Source organism: Homo sapiens, chromosome 5 (genome assembly GCF_000001405.40).
Source record: "Homo sapiens chromosome 5, GRCh38.p14 Primary Assembly".
Classification (NCBI taxonomy): domain Eukaryota; kingdom Metazoa; phylum Chordata; class Mammalia; order Primates; family Hominidae; genus Homo; species Homo sapiens.
The window spans coordinates 134,650,893-134,672,241 of NC_000005.10; the positions used below are offsets into that span (position 1 = coordinate 134,650,893).

Sequence of the window (21,349 nt, forward strand, 5' to 3'; positions counted from 1 at the left end):
GCCTCTGAAGTAGCTGGGATTACAGGCACGTGTCACCACACCCAGCTAATTTTTATATTTTTAGTAGAGACGGGGTTTCACCATGCTGGTCAGGCTGATGTCAAACTCCTGACCTCTAGTGATCCACCCACCTTGGTCTCCCAAAGTGCTGGGATTACAGGCATGAGCCACTGTGCCTGGCCTCTACAGGTTTTTTGTATTTTGCCTTTTTTTTTTTTTTGAGACAGGATCTTACTTAAACTGTCCCTCAAGCTGGAGTGCAGTGGCAGGATCACAACTCACTGTCACTCCTGGGCTCAAGCAATCCTCACACCTCAGCCTCCCCAGTAGCTAGAACTACAGGTGCATACCACCAGGCCCCATTTTTTATATAAGTATATAATATATATATATAATGTATATATTTTATTATTATTTTTTGAGTCAGAGTTTCACTCTGTTGCCCAGGCTGGAGTACAATGGCTCGATCTCGGCTCACTGCAACCTCCATGTCTCAGGTTCAAGTGATTCTCGTGCCTCAGCCTCCCGAGTAGCTGGGATTACAGGCCTGTGCCACCACAACCGGCTAATTTTTGTATTTTTAGTAGAGATGGGGTTTCACCATGTTGGCCAGGCTGGTCTTGAACTCCAAACCTCATAATGATCCGCCCACCCTGGCATCCCAAAGTGCTGGGATTACAGGCATGAGCCACCACGCCCGGCCTAATGTAAAGATATATGTATATTATATATATAATGTTTTATATATATTTTGTAGAGATGAGTCTCTCTATGTTGCCTAGGCTGGTCTGAAATTCCTGACCTCAAGTGATCCTCCTGACTCAGCCTTCCAAAGTGCTGGGATTAGAGGCATGAGCTACCAAGCCTAGCCTGGGTTGTTTTATTGTTCATCCTGCTAATAATACAGAGAGTAGGGATATGGTATCAAGTTGGAGAACAGGATATTTTTCAAGAAGGTGAGAAAACGTTTCAATGCTGGGATCTAGTTTTGCTTAACTATTCCAAAGCAGTAGTTGATGCTTGCATATTCTGTTGAAAACTCTTTTTTTTTTTTTTTTTGATGGAGTTTCACTTTTGTTGCCCAGGCTAGAGTGCAATGGCTCATTGCAACCTCTGCCTCCCAGATTCAAGCAATTCTCCTGCCTCAGCCTCCTGAGCAACTGGGATTACAGGTGCATGCCACCACACCCGGCTAATTTTTGTATTTTTAGTAGAGACAGGGTTTCATCACATTGGTCAGGCTGGTCTCAAACTCCTGACCTCAGGTGATCCGCCCGCGTCGGCCTCCCAAAGTGCTGGGATTACAGGCGTGAGCCACCGCGCCTGGCCGAAAAGTCTTAAGTATTTAATGAAGTTTGCTTAAATTACATATTACAGTATAATTAGATCTTCAGTTTGCTTTTGTTTTTTGTTTTTGAGATAGTCTTTCTCTATTGCCCAGGCTGGAGTGCAGTGGCGTGATCTTGGCTCACTGCAACCTCCATCTCCTGGGTTCAAGCAATTCTGCCTCAGCCTCCTGAGCAACTGGGACTACAGGCATGCGCCACTATGTCTAGCTAATTTTTGTATATTTAGTAGAGACGGGGTTTCGCCACGTTGCCCAGGCTGGTCTCGAACTCCCGAGCTCAGGTGATCCGCCCACCTCGGCCTACTAAAGTGCCGGGATTACAGGCGTGAGCCACTGTGCCTGGCCAGTTTGGTGTTTTTTGTTTTTGAGACGGAGTCTTGCTGTGTTGCCAGGCTGGAGTGCAGTGGTGCGATCTCAGCTCACTGCAACCTCCACCTCCCAGGTTCAAGCGATTCTCCTGCCTCAGCTTCCCGAGTAGCTGGGGTTACAGGCACCTGTAGCACATGCCACCATGCCTGGCTGATTTTGTATTTTGTTTGTTTGTTTTGTTTTGTTTTTGTTTTTGTTTTTTTGAGACGGAGTCTCACTCTGTCACCCATGCTGGAGTGCAGTGGTGCGATCTTGGCTCGCTGCAAGCTCCGCCTCCTGGGTTCATGCCATTCTCTTGCCTCAGCCTCCCGAGTAGCTGGGACAATAGGTGCCCGCCACCACACCCGGCTAATTTTTTGTATTTTTTTTTTTTTTTTAGTAGAGACAGCGTTTCACCATATTAGCTAGGATGGTCTCAATCTCCTGACCTCGTGATCTGCCCGCCTCTGCCTCCCAAAGTGCTGGGATTACAGTTATGAGCCACTGTGCTCGGCCTAATTTTTGTATTTTTAGTGGAGACGGGGTTTCACCATGTTGGCCAGGATGGCCTCTATCTGCTGACCTCATGATCCTCCTGCCTCAGCCTCCCAAAGTGCTGGCATTACAGGTGTGAGCCACCATACCCGTTCCAGTTTCGTTTGTTTGTTTGTTTTTTAAAGAGCCTGGGTCTTGCTCTGTCACCCAAGTTGAAGTGTAGTCACTTGATCATGGCTCACTGCAGCCTCGAACCTCCTGGCTGAAGTGATCCTCCCACGTCAGCCTCCTGTGAAGCTAGGACTACAGGCACATGCCCTGAAACCTGGCTAACTAAACAGTTTTTTTTAGAAAACAGAGCTGCACTCTGTTGCCCAGGATGGTCTTGAACTCCTGGACTCAAGTAATCCTCCTGCCTTGGCCTCCCAAAGAGCTAGGATTACAGGCATGAGCCACAACATCTAGCACAGATATTTTATATATTATAGTCAAAAGACCTCACCAGGTGTGGTGGCTCACACCTGTAATGTCAGCACTTTGGGAGGCCGAGGTGCTAGGATTGTTTTAGCCCAAGAATTCAAGACCACCCTCGGCAACATAGTGAGAACCTGTCTCTACAAAGAATTTTTAAAAAATAGGCATGGTGCGGGCCCAGTAGTCCCAGCTACTGGGGAGGCTGAGACAGGAAGATCACTTGACCCCAGGAGGTCAAGACTGCAGTGAGCTACAATTGCACAACTGCACTACAACCTGGGTGACATGGCAGTATCTTGTCTCAAAAATAAATAAATAGGCCGGGTGCAGTGGCTCACACCTGTAATCCCAGCACTTTGGGAGGCCAAGGCAGGAGGGCTGCTTGAGCCTAGGAGTTCAGACCAGGGTAGGCAACATAGGAAGACCCCATATCTATAAAAAAGTAAGAAAAATTAGTCCAGTGTAGTGGTGCCAGCCTGTGGTCCCAGCTACTCAGGAGGCTGAGGTAGGAGGATCACCTGTGTCCAGGAGGTTAAGGCTGCAATGAGCCATGATCATGCCACTACCCTCTAGCCTGGGCAACAGAGTGAGAACCTGTCACAAAAATAAATAAATTAATAAAAAACAAAAGACCTAACAGTAGCCTTTTTCAAAAAAAAAAAATATATATATATATTTTTTGAGACGGAGTCTCACGCTGTCACCCAGGCTGGAGTGCAGTGGTGCAGATCTTGGCTCACTGCAGCCTCTGCCTCCCGGGTTCAAGTGATTCTCCTGCCTCAGCCTCCCGAGTAGCTGGGACTACAGGCGTGCACCACCATGCTCAGCTAATTTTTGTATATTTAGTAGAGACGGGGTTTCACCATGTTGGACAGGGTGGTCTCAATTTCCTGACCTCGTGATCTGCCTGCCTTGGCCTCCCAAAGTGCTGGGATTACAGGCGTGAGCCACTGCGCCCAGCTGAGAGGTTTTTCTAAGTCTTTGTGTATACATATTTCCTTTGCAAAAATTGATAGCAGACTACAAGACCTTAAACTAATGGATCTTAATCTGATTATCATGTATTAACGCTAAAGGCAAATAATGACTCCCACCATTAATTAGTGCCTTTATTGACTGAATCAACTTGCAAAGCCAGTTAGAAACTGCAGTTTTGTTTTGTTTTGTTTTGGTTTTTCAGAAATGGTCTCACTTTGTCCCCCAGGCTAGAGTACAGTGGTGCAGTCTTGGCTCACTGCAGCCTTAACCTCCATGGTTCAAGCAATCCTCCTGCTTCAGCCCCTGAAGTAGCTGGGATTACAGGTGTGCGTCACCATGCTTGTCTAATTTTTTTGTGTCTTTAGTAGAGATGGGTTTCACCATTTGGCCAGGCTGGTCTCGAACTCCTGACCTCGTGATCCTCCCACCTTGGCCTCCCAAAGTGCTGGGATTACAGGTGTGAACCACTACGCCTGGCCCAGGCTTTCCTAAAGAAACGTACAGCTTTTTGGCCAGGCTGGTCTCAAAATCCTGACCTCAGGTGATCTGCCCGCCTGAGCCAAAGTGCTGAGATTACAGGTGTGAGCCACCGCACCCGGCCACATGAGATTTTTTACTAATGCAGATTCTGGGATCCTTTTGAATCCTATGAAATAGGATTTTACAAAGGTGGGACCTGGGATCTCAATTTGTACCATTATTATAGCAGGTTCCTCTGATTCTGAAGCTGCTGGTTGGGTGGGAAGCACTCATCTGCATTCATTCTTGCCTCTAACTTTCTAATTTAGCTTCTTTACCCACACATCCCAAAATTGTCCTTAATAAGGCCACAAGGCTGGGCGTGGTGGCTCATGCCTGTAATCCCAGCACTTTGGGAGGTCAAGGCGGGTGGATCACAAGGTCCGGAGTTCAAGACCAGCCTGGCCAACATGGTGAAACCTTGTCTCTACTAAAAATACAAAAATTAGCCGGGTGTGGTGGCGTGCGCCTGTAATCCCAGCTACTCAGGAGGCCTCAGCCTCCTGAGTGATTCTCAGCAGGAGAATCACTTGAACCCGAGAGGTGGAGGTTGCAGTGAGCCGAGATCATGACATTGCACTGCAGCCTGGGCGACAGAGCAAGAATTCATCTCAAAATAAATAAATAAATAAATAAGGCCACAAATGGCTTCCTGGTTATTAAATAGAAAAATATTTTTCAGTTCTCATTTTCCGAGCTGCATTTGATACCTTTGGCTGTTATTTTGTTTTTACAACAATTGCTTTCTTTGGTTTCTAGGATATCACCAGAAGGGTAGTTATGGTTTTCTTTCTTTTTTTTGGTTGCTATTTCTCAACAGCAGTATTCTCAATATTTCTTCCATTTCTGATTGTTTTTTTCTCTCTCCTCCTTAAATATTGGTGTTCTTCAAGGTGACCTATTTTTCTTACTCTTATATACTCCCTGGGTGTCTTTAATTCCCATGGTTTTAAATCTTATGCATAGATCAGTGACTCCCATAATTATATCTTAAGGTGAAATCTGTCACTTTGGCTGCAGCTAAATATCTTTTTTTTTTTTTTTTTAAGACAGAGTCTTGCTCTGTTGCCCAGGCTGGAGTGAGGTGGCACGATCTTGGCTCACTGCAACCTTTGCCTCCTGGGTTCAAGCGATTCTCCTTTCTCAGCCTCCGGAGTAGCTGGGACCACCGGCATGTGCCACCACACCCGGCAAATTTTTTGTATTTTTAGAAGAGATGGGGTTTCACCGTCTTAGGATGGTGTTGCTCTCCTGACCTCATGATCTGCCCGCCTTGACCTCCCAAAGTGCTGGGATTACAGGCCTGAGCCACCGCGCCCAGCGCAGATAAATATCTTTATACTGGACATCTCCACTTAGATTTCTTGGTGGCACCTGAAAATTAGTGTGTTTAAAATAACTCTTCGATCTCTCTTCCCTTTGCCATTCCCCACCTTTGTTTTTTTGAGACAGAGTCTTGCTCTGTCAACCAGGCTGGAGTGCAGTGGCACGATATCCGCTCATTGCAACCTCCGCCTCCCAGGTTCAAGCAATTCTCCTGCCTCAGCCTCTGAGTAGCTGGGACTATAGGCGTGTGCCACCATGCCCGGCTAATTTTTGTATTTTAGTAGAGACGGGGTTTCACCGTGTTGGTCAGGCTGGTCTCGAACTTCTGACTTCAGGTGATCCACCCACCTCGGCCTCCCAAAGTGTTGGGATTACAGGCATGAGCCACTGCATCCGACTTTTTTTTTTTTTTTTTTTTTAAAGACAGCTCTCATTCTGTCGCCCTGGCCGGAATGCAATGATGCAATGATAGCTCACTGCAGCCTTGAACTCCTGGGCTCAAGTAATCCTTGATCCTTGATCAAGTGGGTGGAGTGGCTCATGCTTGTAATCTTAGTACTTTGGGAGGTCGAGTCAAGAAGATCCCTTGAGCCCAGGAGTTCGAGACCAGCCTGGACAACTTAGGGAGACCCCATCTCTACAAAAAAATTTAAAAATTAGCCAGGCATAATGGTGCACGCCTGTAGGCCCAGCTACTCAAGAGGGGAGGTGGGAGGATCGCTTGAGCTTGGGAGGTCGAGGCTGCGGTGAGCTGTGACACTTCAGCCTGGGTGGCAGAGCGAGACCTCATTTCTGAAAAACGCACACACACACACACACACACACACACACACAACCAAAACTTATATTTTGTAGAGATAGGGACTTGCTATTGCCCAGGCTGGTCTCAAACTCCTGGCCTCAAGTGATCCTCCCACCTTGACTTTCTAAAGTGCTGGGATTGCAGGCATGAGCCACCGTGCCTGGCCTACATTTCTATTCTTTTCTCTTTCTGTTCAAATGAATAAACACGGCCATCCACCAGGTTGCTCAGGTCAGAAACCTAGGAGTCATCCTAGATTTTTTCCTCTCTTCATCACCCATATTCAATTCCACATAAAATCCCATGAATGCTGTTTCCTCAAATCAGTTTTTAAAAATTTGAGTAATGTATAGATACTAAATATTTCTCTGCTGTCCCAATGTTAAATTATTTATTTATTTATTTTACTTCTGACACAGGTTCTCACTCTGTTGCCCAGGCTAGAGTGCAGGGGCATGATCACAGCCCACTGCAGGCTTGATCTCTTGGGTTCAAGTGATCCTCCCGCCTCAGCCTCCCAAGTAGCTGGGAATATAGGCACGTGCCACCACAACTGGCTAATTATTTATTTTTTTGTAGAGACGAGGTCTCACTATATTACCCAGGTTATTCTTGAACTCCTGAGGTCAAGCCGTGCTCCCACCTTGGCTTTTCAAAGTGCTCGGATTACAAGATCAAGCCAACATGCCTGGCAAAAATTATTTTTATTAAATGTGTATATGCAAACACAAAACTAGATGTAAACTTCATAGGGTTATAGCTATTGTACTATTGTAAAACCAAACATTAAAAATATCAACATATGGCTGGGCATGGTGGCTCACGCCTGTAATCCCAGCACTTTGGGAGGCTGAGGTGGCCAGATCACTTGAGGTCAGAAGTTCAAGAACAGCCTGGCCAACATGGTGAAATCCCGTCTCTACTAAAAATACAAAATTAGCCAGCGTGGTGGTGCACACCTGTAATCCTAGCTACTCGAGAGGCTGAATGAGGCAGGAGAATCGCCTGAACCCAGGAGGCGGAGGTTGCAGTGAGCCGAGATCGCACCACTGCACTTTAGCTTGGGCAACAGAGCGAGACTCTGTCTCAAAAAAAAATCAAAAGCAATATAATTCAATTTTAAAACATTAAACAATATGCTACATTTTGTTTGAAACCACAGTTGATTTGATTGTTTTAATTTTGAATATGTTGGAACATTACTTGGGTGACTATCATGCTCACTTTTTCCTTTTTGTTTTTGAGACACGTTCTCACTCTGTAGCCCAGGGTGGAATGCCTAATTATAGCTCACTGAAGTCAAACTCCTGGGCTCAAGCAGTCCTCTTGCCTCAGCCTCCTGAGAAGCTAGATCTACAGGCATGTGCCACAACTCCTGGCTAATTTTTTAATTTTTAATTTTTTTGTGTGGAAATGGAGTCTCGCTGTGTTGCCCAGGCTGGTCTCCTACTCCTGAGCTCAAGTAGTTCTGCTTTGGCCTCCCAGTGTGATGGGATTACAGGCATGAGCCACCATGCCCAACCTCTACACGATTTTAATAGGGGAAGAATGGGGTGGGGGAGAGGACATTTACTGGAAAACAGACGACTTATAGGAAGGATAAATGGGCTTTTAGAATAGATATGATAGTTTTGTGATGATATCTGTTTAGGTGTGGTGTGGAAATTTCTCATCTCAGGTCATGAGTCAGATTGACATCTTTCCTGGTTGCCCCTGGGAAGTAGATTATGACAATTGAGTTCTTTTGGAAGGCTCTGTTTTAGGCAGATAAGAGATTTTAGGAACTCAAATGCCTTCTGCTTAAAATAATTTTTATGCCATAGTAGCGTATTCTGGACCCCTTCACAATCACTGACCCATTTATTTTTATTTATTTATTTATTTATTTATTTATTTATTTATTTATTGAGATGGAATCTTGCTCTGTCACCCAGGCTGGAGTGCAGTGGCGCGATGTTGGCTCACTGCAAGCTCTGCCTCCTGGGTTCACGCCATTCTCCTGCCTCAGCCTCCCGAGTAGCTGGGACTACAGGCACCCGCCACCACGCTCCACTAATTTTTTTGTATTTTTAGTAGAGATGGGGTTTCACCATGTTAGCCAGGATGGTCTTGATCTCCTGACCTCGTGATCCGCCCGCCTTGGCCTCCCAAAGTGCTGGGATTATAGGCGTGAGCCACCGCGCCTGGCCTCACAGACCCATTATTTTGATGGGCTACTTAGTAATGACTTCAGAATTTAAAAAAATTATCCATTTAGTGAAGGTGTCATTATATATTTATTACTACACTTTTTGTGAACTACTTGTAATTGATCCATATATGATTTTCACATAGTGGGGAGGGATGTCAGAAAAAAAAATTTTCATGTAATAGTTACTCACAATAGGTCTATGATGGTGACTACCACAAAACAAGTTCTTTTGTATCTGTCTTCCTGCCAGTTGGCCTTATGACCTCATATTCTTTTTTTTTTTTTTTTTTTTGAGACAGGATACAGGGTCTCACTTTGTCACAGAGGCTGGAGTGCAGTGGCGTGAACGCAGCTCCCTGCAGCCTTAACCTCCTGTGCTCAGTGATCCTCCTGCCTCAGCCCCAAGTAGCTGGGACTTACAGGCAGGCGCCACCACACCCAACTAATTCTTATATTTTTTATAGAGACGAGGTCTTACTATTATGTCCAGGCTGGTCTCGAACTCCTGAGCTCAAGCTATCTGCCCGCCTTGGCCTCCCAAAGTGTTGGGATTATATGTGTGAGGCACCATGCCCAGCATGTTTTCATCTTTATTGGCCTGTCAAATTTTTGCTTATTTTGTACATTTTGATGGTATTTGGCTTTCACTTGGCTGTACCTGGCTTGAAGGCACCTCTTTAGCGTATTAGCTTGTGATAAGATTGTAAATACAACCTGTTTGCTCACGCCTGTAATCCTAGCGCTTATAGAGGCTGAGGCAGGAGGATTACTTGAGCTCAGGAATTTGAGACCAGCCTGGGCAACATAGTGAGTCTCTGTCTCTACAAAAAAAAAAAAAAAAAATTAGGCCGGCGTGGTGGTGCATGCCTGTAGTCCCAGCTTCTCAGGAGGCTTAGATGGGAGGATCGCTTGAGCCCAGGAGGTCAGAGCTACAGTGAGCCATGATTGTGCCACTGTACTCCAGCTTGGATGACAGAGTAAAGTGCTGTCTCAATCAATCAATCAATCCATAAGTAAGTAAATAAAATTGTAATACAAATATGAAACTAGGCCAGGACATCTTGTGGCAACATTGGGCTGTGAGATGGCCTATTTTTATCCAAGTGACCCAACATATGCTTATATATTATTTTTTTACAAATGTTTTCATTTATTGAGACATCTCTGTATTCCCTCTGTTACTTGCTACTGTTTAGTCCATCTTTTTTTTTTTTTTTTGTCACCCAGGCTGGAGTGCAATGGTGTGACCTTGGCTCACTGCAGCCTTGACCTCCTGGGTTCAAGTAATCCTCCTGCCTCAGCCCCCCAAGTAGCTAAGACTACAGGCGCATACCATCAAGGCTGGCTACTTTTTGTTTTTTTTTATAGGCATGGGGTTTCACCATGTTGCCCAGGCTGGTCTTGAACTCCTGGGCTCAAGCTATCCACCTGCCTTGGCCTCCCAAAGTGCTGGGATTACAGATGTGAGCCACTGCGCTGGCCTTCATTGTGGTTTTGATTTACATTTCTGTTATGACTAATTATGTTTGTATTTCTCTAATGACTGATGATGTTGAATGTTTTGGCATGTGCTTATTAGCTATCTTCTTTGGAAGTATGTTTGAATGTCTATTTAAGTCCTTTGCTTATTTTTTAATTGAGTTATGTGTTTTTATTGCTGACTGTAAGAATATATGTTTTACTTTATTTCTTAAAGTATTGCTATATTCGTTGGTAAGACTAATTTTTCCTCCTTTTATTGGAAGGTCCTGTCCAAAATGCATTGCTGTCTTCACAAGAGTCAGTGAGCCAAGGATACAATTTCCAGCTTCCAGGATCCTACCCTCATCCAATACCAGCAAAGACTTTGAATCCAGTCTCTGGACAGTCTAACTATGGTGGTTCTCAGGGATCTGGGCAGACTCTTAATAGACCACCTGTGGCCTCTAATCCAGTGACACCTTCGCTTCATAGTGGTCCTGCTCCCCGAATGCCATTACCTGCTTCTCAGAACCCAGCTACTACACCAATGCCTTCTAGTAGCTTTCTTCCTGAAGCCAACCTGCCACCACCTTTGAATTGGCAATATAACTATCCATCCACAGCCTCACAAACAAACCATTGTCCTCGTGCATCATCCCAACCAACTGTATCTGGAAATACAAGTTTAACCACAAATCATCAATATGTTTCTTCTGGATATCCTTCACTTCAAAATAGCTTCATAAAGTCAGGTAGTATTCTTATAGAAGTGCTTAAAATGTAGAAATGTGAAACTTTTGCTTATTTAGATGTTTGAAATAATACTTGAAACCTGAAAACCATATGGAAAATGTGACTTTTAAAATTATTAGTAGTTTTTTGTTGTTTTTTGTTTTTCGGCTTTCCAGCAAAAACCAGAAAGCCTGCTAGACAAATTAAGTAAGCTATAACACTCATTAGTAGTTTTTTTTTTCATTCTTTTTTCTCTTTTTTTTTTTTTTTTTTGAGATGGGGTCTTGCTCTGTCACCCAGGCTGGAAAGCAGTGGCACAATCTCAGCTCACTGCAACCTCTGCCTCCCTGGTTCAAGCAATTTTCCTGCCTCAGCCTCCAGAGTAGCTGGGATTATGGGATTACAGGCACGTGCCACTGCACCCAGCTAACTTTTTGTATTTTTAGTAGAGATGGGGTTTCACCATATTGGCCAGGCTGGTCTTGAACTCCCGACCTCAGGTAATCCGCCCACCTCAGCCTCCCAAAGTGCGAGGATTACAGGCGTGAGCCACCACACCTGGCCACATTTATTTATTTTATTTATTTATTATTTATTTATTTTTTTGAGACGGAGTCTCTCTCTGTCGCCCAGGCTGGAGTGCAGTGGCGTGATCTTGGCTCACTGCAAGCTCTGCCTCCCGGGTTCACGCCATTCTCCTGCCTCAGCCTCCCGAGTAGCTGGGACTACAGGTGCCCGCCACCACGCCCGGCTAATTTTTTGTATTTTTAGTAGAGACGGGGTTTCACCGTGTTAGCCAGGATGGTCTCGATCTCCTGACCTCGTGATCCGCCCGCCTTGACCTCCCAAAGTGCTGTGATTACAGGTGTGAGCCAATATTTCTTTGAAAAGCATTTAAAATTCTGTATTGGGATCTGCAGGTTGATACTTCTCAGCAGACAGCCTCAAGTTTATGAAATAGTGTAGGCTTCCAAGTGAAATAGTAATATCAATAGTTACCTTTTTAACCTTATGTATGTTTATATGGCATATACTCCATCAGGCTTGTAAATTGTTAATGGCTGAAACTTTATTTTTCCAAGCCTTTGATCAGACATTGGCCCTGGTGAATGCATTTTGGCCTTGTAAAGATTAAAGCTGCTTCTAGAAACTTAAGTTTCTTTGTGGAAATCTTCTGACCTGCAATTAGTAGAGCTAAAATCCTTCATGTTACTTTTGTTCTAATTCATTTGATACCATGAGTGAGCATCAATCACTTGAAATGAATGAATATGGTGGCACACATCAATCACTTGAATGAATGAATGTGTGGTCCCAGCTACTCGGGGGGCTGAGGTGGGAGAATTGCTTGAGCTCTGGCAATTGAGGCTGCAGTGAGCTATGATTGTGCCACTGCGCTCCGGCCTAGGTGACAGAGTGAGACTTGGTCTAAAAAAAAAATTTAAGTGTTAAAAAAAATGTTATCTATATTATTTTCCAGGCTCTATCAAACTTTGATATCATTATCTGTTTTTCTGTTTTGCTTTTTATTTTTTAGAGATAGGCTGTCTCTCTGTTTCCCAAGCTGGAGTGCAGTGGTGCAATCCTAGTGTCATCAAACTGCTGGGCTCAAGCTATCCTCCCGCCTCACCTCCCTGAGTAGGCGTGCCACAGTGCCTGGCTAATCTTTTGTTCTTTATTTTTTTGTATAGACAGGGTCTTACCCTGTCGCCCAGGGTAGAGTAGGGTAACACGATCATAGCTCACTTAACTGCAACATAGCTTGCTGTAACTGCTGACCTCAAGCCATCCTGCTGCCTGGATTTCCTAAAGTTCTGGGATTACAGGTGTGAGCCACCTAGCCAGGCCTGCATTATCTTGTTTAATCTTCGTAACAGTCTCTTACAGATCTAAAGTATAAGACTTGAATAATTTGCCCAAAGCCACAGTAAAATAGTTTGGGAAAACATTTATTTAAAAACTATTTAAGGGCCAGGCGTGGTGGCTCACGCCTATAATCCTAGCACTTTGGGAGTCCAAGGCAGGAGGATCCACTTGAGGCCAGGAGGCCAGGAGTTCACTAGCCTGAGCAAAATAGCAAGACCCCATCTCTATTTTTTTAAATAATTTTATTTAAAAATAAATAAATACTAAGAGTAGGTGTAGCTTCTCTTAAAAAGGTACATTATCAATAATCTGAAATTTCTTTAGCTATAATAGAAACCCTCAGAGCACCTTGTCTCCACTACAGATTTGGTGAGAGAGACATAAATAAGTGCTGAGGCTGGGCATGGTGGCTCACGCCTGTAAGCCCAGCACTTTGGGAGGCTGAGTCGGGTGGATCACCTGAGGGCAGGAGTTCGAGACCAGCCTGGCCTACATGGTGAAAACCTCGTGTCTACTAAAAATACAAAAATTAGCCAAGTATGGTGGCACGTGCCTGTAATCCCAGCTACTCAGGAGGCTGAGGCAGGAGAAGCGCTTGAAGCTGGGAGGCGGAGGTTGCAGTGAGCTGAGATTGCACCACTACCTTCAGTCTGGGCGACAGAGCAAGACTCCATCTCAAAAAAAAAAAGTGCTGAAACTTATGAAAGAAGGGGAAATAAAAACATATAAACTAATAAAATGAACCTAAAAAGTAACCTTCTTTTTTCTCATTTGAACCTTCAAAGAACCTTCAAATTCCTCATTTTTTTTCTTTTTTCCAACTCATAACTGAGAGTTGGTACCTGATAGTCTGGTATCAAAGCTGTGAGTATTTAGGTTATACTAAGTTTTTAGTTCATATATTAAATTTTCCTGAATTTTTTTAATAGGTCACCTTTAAGCATCATTATACTCATTTAGGGGCTGAGAGGGCAGACTCTGAAACTCTAGCTATCAGTGTCGTAAATAAGAATTCTTCAACTTGAAAAAATGTTCATTTTATGAAATATATGATTATCTGTTCAAAAATAGTCTTCTAAAAGCTGTGAAAATCTCTGTAAGTTTACTTTTATTCGTTAAACATTAGGTTGTAGGTTACATCTTTGTGGCCAGATGTATTTTACATTCTTGTTCATGCTGAGTTGGCCATGTACCTTGCCCCTTTGTTCCTTTGACTTGTCTATACTGCCATAGATATGTGTGACCACTTCTTTGATAAGGGAGTTACATGGCAATAATCTTTGTCTTCACTTTTGTCAACAAGGCACTGATAGTCTTGTTAGCAGTTGTAAGATTCAGTAATAGGCAATTTTTCTTTTTCTTTTTTTTTTTTTTTTTTTTTTTTGAGACGGAGCCTTACTCTGTCGCCCAGGCTAGAGTGCAGTGGCGCAATCTCGGCTCACTGCAACCTCCGCCTCCCAGGTTCAAGCAGTTCTTCTGCCTCAGCCTCCCTAGTAGCTGGGATTACAGGCATGCGCCACCACGCCCAGCTAATTTTTTGTATTTTTAGTAGAAACGGGGTTTCACCATATAGGCCAGGCTGGTCCCAAACTCCTGACCTTGTGATCCACCTGTCTCAGCCTCCCAAAGTGCTGGGATTACAGGCGTGAGCCACTGCACCCAGCCTAATAGGCAATTTTTCAACTTGATACTGGAGTATTTAACAGTATTGGTGAAACATTTTGAAAAATTTCAGGCTGAGCGTGGTGGCTCACGACTGTAATTCCAGCACTTTGAGAGGCCGAGGCGGGTGGATTACGAGGTCAGGAGTTTGAGATCAGCCTCCAGCCTGGCCAATATGGTGAAACCCCATCTCTACTAAAAATACAAAAATTAGCCGGGCGTGGTGGCGCGCACTTGTGGACCCAGCTGCTGCCGGAGGCTGAGGCAGGAGAATCGCTTGAACCCAGGAGGCGGAGGTTGCAGTGAGCCGAGATTGCGCCATTGCACTCCAGCCTGGGGGACAAGAGTGAGACTTCGTCTCAGAAAAAAAAAAAAAAAGTGTTCCTTCTGCCTCGGTCTCCCAAAGTCCTGGTATTATAGACATGAACCACTGCTCCTGGCCCCCTATTTTTATTTTTATTTATTTATTTATTTATTTTGAGACAGAGTCTCGCTCTTGTTGCCCAGGCTGGAGTGCAGTGACGAGATCTCAGCTCATTGCAACCTCTGCCTCGCAGGTTCAAGTGATTCTCCTGCCTCAGCTTCCCAAGTAGCTGGGATTACAGGTGCCCACCACCACACCTGGCTAATTTTTTGTATTTTTAGTAGAGATGGGGTTTCACCATGTTGGCAGGCTTGTCTTGAACTCCTGACCACAGGTGATCCACTGTGCCTGGCCCAGCCCTCTATTTTCAGGCTCACTCTAAACTTAGTTGATGTTAATGGAACAGACTATGTTGGTAAACAAAATTAACAAAATATTACAAAATTAATAACATTGAAATTTTATTCATGTTAATTTGTACTAGAATATGACACATGGCCTATTGAATCTAATGATCAGTTAATGAAAAATTAATAAACAGGGCTGGCCAGGTACAGTGGCTCACGCCTGTAATCCCAGCACTTTGGGAGGCCAAGACAGGAGGATCACTGGAGCACCGGAATTCAAGATCAGCCTGGGCAACAAAATGAGACCCCCGTCTCTATTTTATTAAGATTTAAATTATTAATAATAAAAACAAACAGGGCAATGTATCTACTCTAAAAGTGATTTAATCCAAATTTTATATTTACTCTGCTTTAATAATTGACAGGTAAGAGGCCTGGTAGGGGAGAGTTAGAAATTTGTAAAATATGGTCCGGGCACAGTGGCTCACGCCTATAATCTCAGCACTTTGGGAGGCCAAGGCGGGCGAATCACCTGAGGTCAGGAGCTCGAGACCAGCCTGGCCAACATGGTGAAACCCTGGCTGTACTAAAAATACAAAAAATTCACCGGGCATGGTTTCACATGCCTATAGTCCCTCCTACTCAGGAGGCTGAGGCAGGGGAAGCTCTTGAACCCGGGAGGTGGAGGTTGCAGTGAACTGAGATAGCGCTATCGCATTCCAGCCTGGGCGACAAGAAAGAAAACAGGAAAGCAGGAAGGCAGGCAGGAGAAAAGAAAGAAAGAAAGAAAGAAAAAAGGAAGGAAGGGAGGGAGGGAGAGAAGGAAGAGAGAGAAATTTGTAAAATATGCATGTAGATTGAAAAATTGTAAATTTAGGAAGTTAACATGTTTCTGGTAACTCTTTGGTTATTATAATTTAAATGTAAGTTTGGAAGTTACTCAGCTTTGGTAAAAGGCTGATTTTGGCCATAGTCTTGAGTTCTCAAGTGACGTGTGAAAAACCAATGTTTCCATAGGTCCTTCTGTACCTCCCTTAGTGAATCCACCTCTGCCTACAACTTTTCAACCAGGAGCTCCTCATGGGCCCCCTCCAGCTGGAGGCCCACCCCCAGTGAGGGCCCTCACGCCCCTGACATCATCATATAGAGATGTACCCCAGCCCTTATTTAATTCAGCTGTCAACCAAGAAGGTAAGTGAACCAAGAAACAAAGTCAAATCCTCAAGTTTTGACTTAGGGTAGAAAGATGAATATTAGCTGAATTCTGTGCATTAAAATCACATTTTTTCCAGAAAATCTAGTTTTGGTTAGGGATGGGCTACAGGAATTTACAATTTAAAGTTCCTCAGGAATTCCATTGCCATCCGCTGGGCTGTGACTACCATTGGGAAAAAAGCTCTTAGTGTTTTGTTACTTTTTTTGTTGCTATGCGGATTTTTTAAAAATCATGGCTATAAAGTCAGGTGGCTTTTGGAGGAGAATTACTACTTTTCTTGACATGATGTTAGAATGTTAGGAATATCCTTTTAAAATATTGACCTTTTTCATTCAAGACGTATTTTGAGCCAGGCGCGGTGGCTCACACCTGTAATCCCAGCACTTTGGGAGGCTGAGGCAGGCGGATCACGAGGTCAGGAGATCGAGACCATCCTGGCTAACATGGTGAAACCCCATCTCTACTAAAAATACAAAAAAATTAGCCAGGCGTGGTGGCAAGCGACTGTAGTAGTCACAGCTACTCTGGAGGCTGAGGCAGAAGAATGGCGTGAACCCGGGAGGCGGAGCTTGCAGTGAGCCGAGATTGCGCCACTGCACTCCAGCCTGGGCGACAGAACCAGACTCCGTCTCAAAAAAAAAAAAAAACAAAAAAAAAAAAACAAGATATATTTTGATTGCCACTATTATCGTAAATGTTAACACATACTTATGAAACTAAATAAAAGTCATTTATACAAGCAGTGGAAAAATACAAGCTTTTGAAATTTGATTTTCCCCTCCCTGGAATCAATGTTAGCTACATGCAATTTTATGTAAGTAAAATATGTTAAAGCATCATCTTGGGATGTAATGGAAATAAGAGTGTTCATTTAAATAAGATATTTTATAAAGTAAGAAATTTGATTTTAGGCTGGGCACAGTGTCTTACCCCTGTAATCTCAGCACTTTGGGAGGCTGAGGCAGGCAGATCACTTGAGGTCAGGAGTTTGAGACCAGCCTGGCCAACATGGTGAAACCCTGTCTCTACTAAAAATACAAAAATTAGCCTGGTGTGCTGGCATGTGCCTGTAATCCCAGCTACTTGGGAGGCTGAGGCAGGAGAGCTTTTGATTTTAGCAGTAATATAATCGTTGCAGCAAGATGTAGAAAACAGATGAGGGGGTAAAACCATTGCCCATATTCTACTACTGAATACAATCAATATTATCATTTTTGTGTTTTCTTCTAGCATTACATTAAGTATTATAAGTCGGGAAAAGAATAATGTTAGCAACGAGTAACAAGGCCGGGCGTGGTGGCTCATGCCTTCAATCCTGACACTTTGGGAGGCCGAGGTGGGCAGGTCACCTTAGGTCAGGAGTTTGAGACCAGCCTGACCAAGGTGGTGAAACCCCATCTCTACTAAAAATACAGAAATTAAGGCCAGGTGCGGTGGCTCACGCCTATAATCCCAGCAATTTGGGAGGCCGAGGTGGGCGGATCACCTAAGGTCAGGAGTTCCAGACCAGCCTGGCCAGCATGGCGAAACCCTGTCTCTACTAAAAATATAAAAATTAGCCGGGCATAGTGGCGGGCACCTGTAATCCCAGCTACTCAGGAGGCTGAGGCAGGAGAATTGCTTGAACCTGGGAGGCGGAGGTTGCAGTGAGCCAAGATGGCATGATCGCACTCCAGCCTGGGTGACAAGAGCAAAACTCCATCACACACACACAAAAAAAACCAATTAGCCAGGAGTGGTGGTGGGCGCCTGTAATCCCAGCTACTCGGGAGGCTGAGACAGGAGAATTGCTTGAACCCGTAAGGCCACTCCAGTGTTGCCCACTGCACTCTAGCCTGGGCAACAGAGCAAGACTCTGTCTCAAAAAAAAATAAAAATAATAAAAAATAAAAATACAAAAATTAGCTAGGCGTGGTGGCATGTGCCTGTAATCCCAGCTACTTGGGAGACTGAGGCAGGAGAATCTCTTGAACCCGAGAGGTGGAGGTTGCAGTGAGCCGAGATCACACCACAGTACTCCAGCCTGGGTGACAGAGTAAGACTCAGTCTCAAAAAAAAGAGTATCAAAATGATGAGGCATTGTCTCATTGGTTGCCACAGTATTACTTTGAAAATCAAGTTACATTAAATATTTAAATAAGAAAAAAAAATTTTTTTTTTTTGAGAGGGAGTTTCATTCTTGTTGCCCAGGCTGGAGTGCAATGGTGCGATCTCGGCTCACCGCAACCTCCGCCTCCTGGGTTCAAGTGATTCTCCTGCCTCAGCTTCCCGAGTAGCTGGGATTACAGGCATGCGCCACCCCACCCAGCTAATTTTGTATTTTTAGTAGAGATGGGGTTTCTCCATGTTGGTCAGGCTGGTCTCGAACTCCTGACCTCAGGTGATCCTCCTGCCTCACCCTCCCAAAGTGCTGGCATTACAGGCGTGAGCCACTGTGCCCGGCAGAAAAAAATTTTTATTTATTTATTTTTTTGAGATGGAGTCTCACTCTGTCTGCCAGGCTGGAGTGCAGTGGCACGATCTTGGCTCACTGCAACCTCCGCTCCCGGGTTCACGCCATTCTCCTGCCTCAGCCTCCCGAGTAGCTGGGACTACAGGCGCCTGCCACCACGCCCGGCTAATTTTTTTTGTATTTTTAGTAGAGACGAGGTTTCACTGTGTTAGCCAGGATGGTCTCGATCTCCTGACCTTGTGATCCGCCTGCCTCAGCCTCCCAAAGTGCTAGGATTACAGGCATGAGCCACTGCGCCCGGCCCCAGAAAAAAAAAACTTTTAAGAGATAGAGTTTACTCTGTCACACAGGCTGGAATGCAGAGGTGCAGGAGGCTACAGCTGCAGCCTCCTGGTCTGGAACTACAGGTGTGTACCACCACACCTGGCTAATATTTTATTTTATTTATTTTTGAGACATAAGTCTCACTCTTGCTGAGGCTGGAGTTCTGTTTTCCAGGCTGGAGTGCAGTGGAAGGATCTTGGCCCACTGCAGCTTCCGCCTCCCAGGTTCAAGCGATTCTTGTGCCTCAGTCTCCTGAGTAGCTGAGATTACAGGCATGTGCCACCACAACCAGCTAATTTTTGTATTTTCAGTAGATACAGGGTTTTCCCATGTTGCCCAGGCTGGTGTGAACTCCTGAGCTCAAGTGATCTGCCTGCCTTGGCTCCCAAAGTGCTGGGATTACAGGTGTAAGCGTCCACGCCTTGCCTACATTTTTTTAACAACTAAAAATAATTCACAATATGCCCAGTGTTTTTGTTTCTCCTAAAAGTTTTACTGTGGTTTTCTGTTACAAATTCATGGCTAAAATCATGTTGGTCTTGAGAACTGGAAAGAAGTTACTGACTTTAAACCATTAAATGTATCTACTTCGTGTTAATACAGCTATTGAAGTTAGCAGTTTTGTACTTAGGTGCTAGAGGTTAATGCTATTCACTGAATTAAGTGTCTTCTATTCCTGAATTAGAGCTCATACTTAGTAGAGGTAACTAGAAATAAATATTTAGTTCTCATAAACAGATGTCCCTGGCATTTGTCTTTAATCCTGTATAATTTTGGGAGAAGAGATGTTAAGATTTTAATTCTATTTTAGTGGTTGTCCTCTGGACTTAAAGCAGTTGTTCTAATTCATTTATGTCATCTTCAAATTAATTTGGATTCCACTCTCATTGTTAGATATTTTGAAAATAAGGGCTGGGCACGGTGGCTCATGCCTGTAATCCCAGCACTTTGGGAGGCCAAGGCACGCGGATCACGAGGCCAGGAGTTTGAGACCATCCTGGCCAACATGGTGAACCCCTGTCTCTACTAAAATACAAAAACATTAGCCAGGCGTGGTGACGGGCACATGTAGTCCCAGCTACATGGGAGGCTGAGGCAGGAGAATCCCTTGAACCCAGGAGGTGGAGGTTGCTGTGAGCTGAAATCGCACCACTTCACTCCAGCCTGGGCAACAGAGTGAGACTCCATCTCAAAAAAAAAGAAAAGAAAAGAAAGTAAGGTCTTTGCTCCTCATAATTTTACTTTCTTTTTTTGTTTGTTTTTTTGAGATGGAGTTTCGCTCTGTCGCCCAGGCTGGAGTGCAGTGGCACGATTTTGGCTCACAGCAACCTCTGCCTCTCAGGTTCAAGGAATTCCCTGTCTCAGCCTCCCGAGTAGCTGATTACAGGCATGTGCTGATTACAGGCACGCGCCACCACACCCAGCTAATTTTTTTTGTATTTTTAGTAGAGACGGGGTTTCCCCATGTTGGCCAGGCTGATCTCTGACTCCTGACCTCGTGATCCGCCCGCCTTGGCCTCCCAAAGTGCTGGGATTACAGGCGTGAGCCACCGCACCTGGCCTCTTTTTCTTTAGGTAGTTTTGATTTTGATAATTTTTTTTCATTGTGTACTGCTCCTTAGAGGTTTTTAATGCAGCTCTCACAACTGCTGAAATCTTTCAGATGGTATATAATTTTATAAACTTCATAAAGAACCATCTTTTGCTAGAAGTTATTTTGCTGGAGTAGGTTTTGAAAAAGCCTTGTTATTTGGGCCTTTGGCTTAGGTACAATGTAAGGTGAAAAAAGACTCTTTCCAAAGACTCATGTTTCCTTTCCCTGAAGTTGCAGCTAAATTACTTGAAACTATCGTATATGTAAAAACTTGGATTTTTTATGTTGTTAATAGGCTGTGGTTTTAAATTATTTGTTGTTTAGAAAATTATTTAAAATTTTGGATATTAGTTAAAATCATACAGAGATTGTAATAATCATTCTAATTAAAATCTTGTTGATGAACTTCCTTCTTAGGTATTACATCAAATACCAATAACGGATCTATGGTGGTCCACAGTAGTTACGACGAGATTGAAGGAGGTGGCTTATTGGGTGAGATGCTATGAAAGTTTTTTTTTTAATCTCTTTTTTCTGATTATAGAAATAATATGTGGTAATTGTACAAATATATAGGAAACTAAGAGGGAAACTTCATAATCATGTAGCCATACATACTATTAACTTATTTATTTATTTATTTGGACACAGGGTCTCACTCTGTCGCTCAGGCTGGAGTGCAGTGGTGCGATCATGGCTCACTGCAGCCTCAGTCTCCTGGGCTCAAGCAGTCCTCCCACCTCAGCCTCCTGAGTAGCTGGGACCATAGCCACGTGTCACCATGCCCAGCTTTTTGTTTTTGTTTTTGTTTTTTGAGACTGAGTCTCGCTCTGTTGCTTAGGCTGGAGTG

At 44.2% G+C, this 21,349-nt stretch overlaps 1 protein-coding gene and 1 non-coding gene across 8 annotated transcripts in view; one reads left to right on the forward strand and one right to left on the reverse strand.

The window, feature by feature from the left end:
* The window catches only part of SEC24A (SEC24 homolog A, COPII component), a 79,528-nt gene that overhangs the window by 2,511 nt on the left and 55,668 nt on the right, over positions 1 to 21,349 (forward strand). For 4 of the 7 annotated variants that reach the window (XM_017008961.3, NM_021982.3, XM_047416649.1 and 1 more), the window contains exons 2-4: positions 10,227 to 10,694; positions 15,931 to 16,104; positions 20,917 to 20,994. In XM_017008961.3, coding sequence (XP_016864450.1) covers positions 10,227 to 10,694; positions 15,931 to 16,104; positions 20,917 to 20,994 — 720 coding nt within the window. The remainder of the gene's footprint in view (positions 1 to 10,226; positions 10,695 to 15,930; positions 16,105 to 20,916; positions 20,995 to 21,349) is intronic. The other 3 variants (XM_047416648.1, XM_006714523.3, XM_017008963.3) reach the window with 1 other exon arrangement.
* Positions 10,838 to 10,897, reverse strand: LOC124901192 (U7 small nuclear RNA). Its single transcript, XR_007059144.1, has one exon. It is a non-coding gene; the product is annotated as a U7 small nuclear RNA (small nuclear RNA).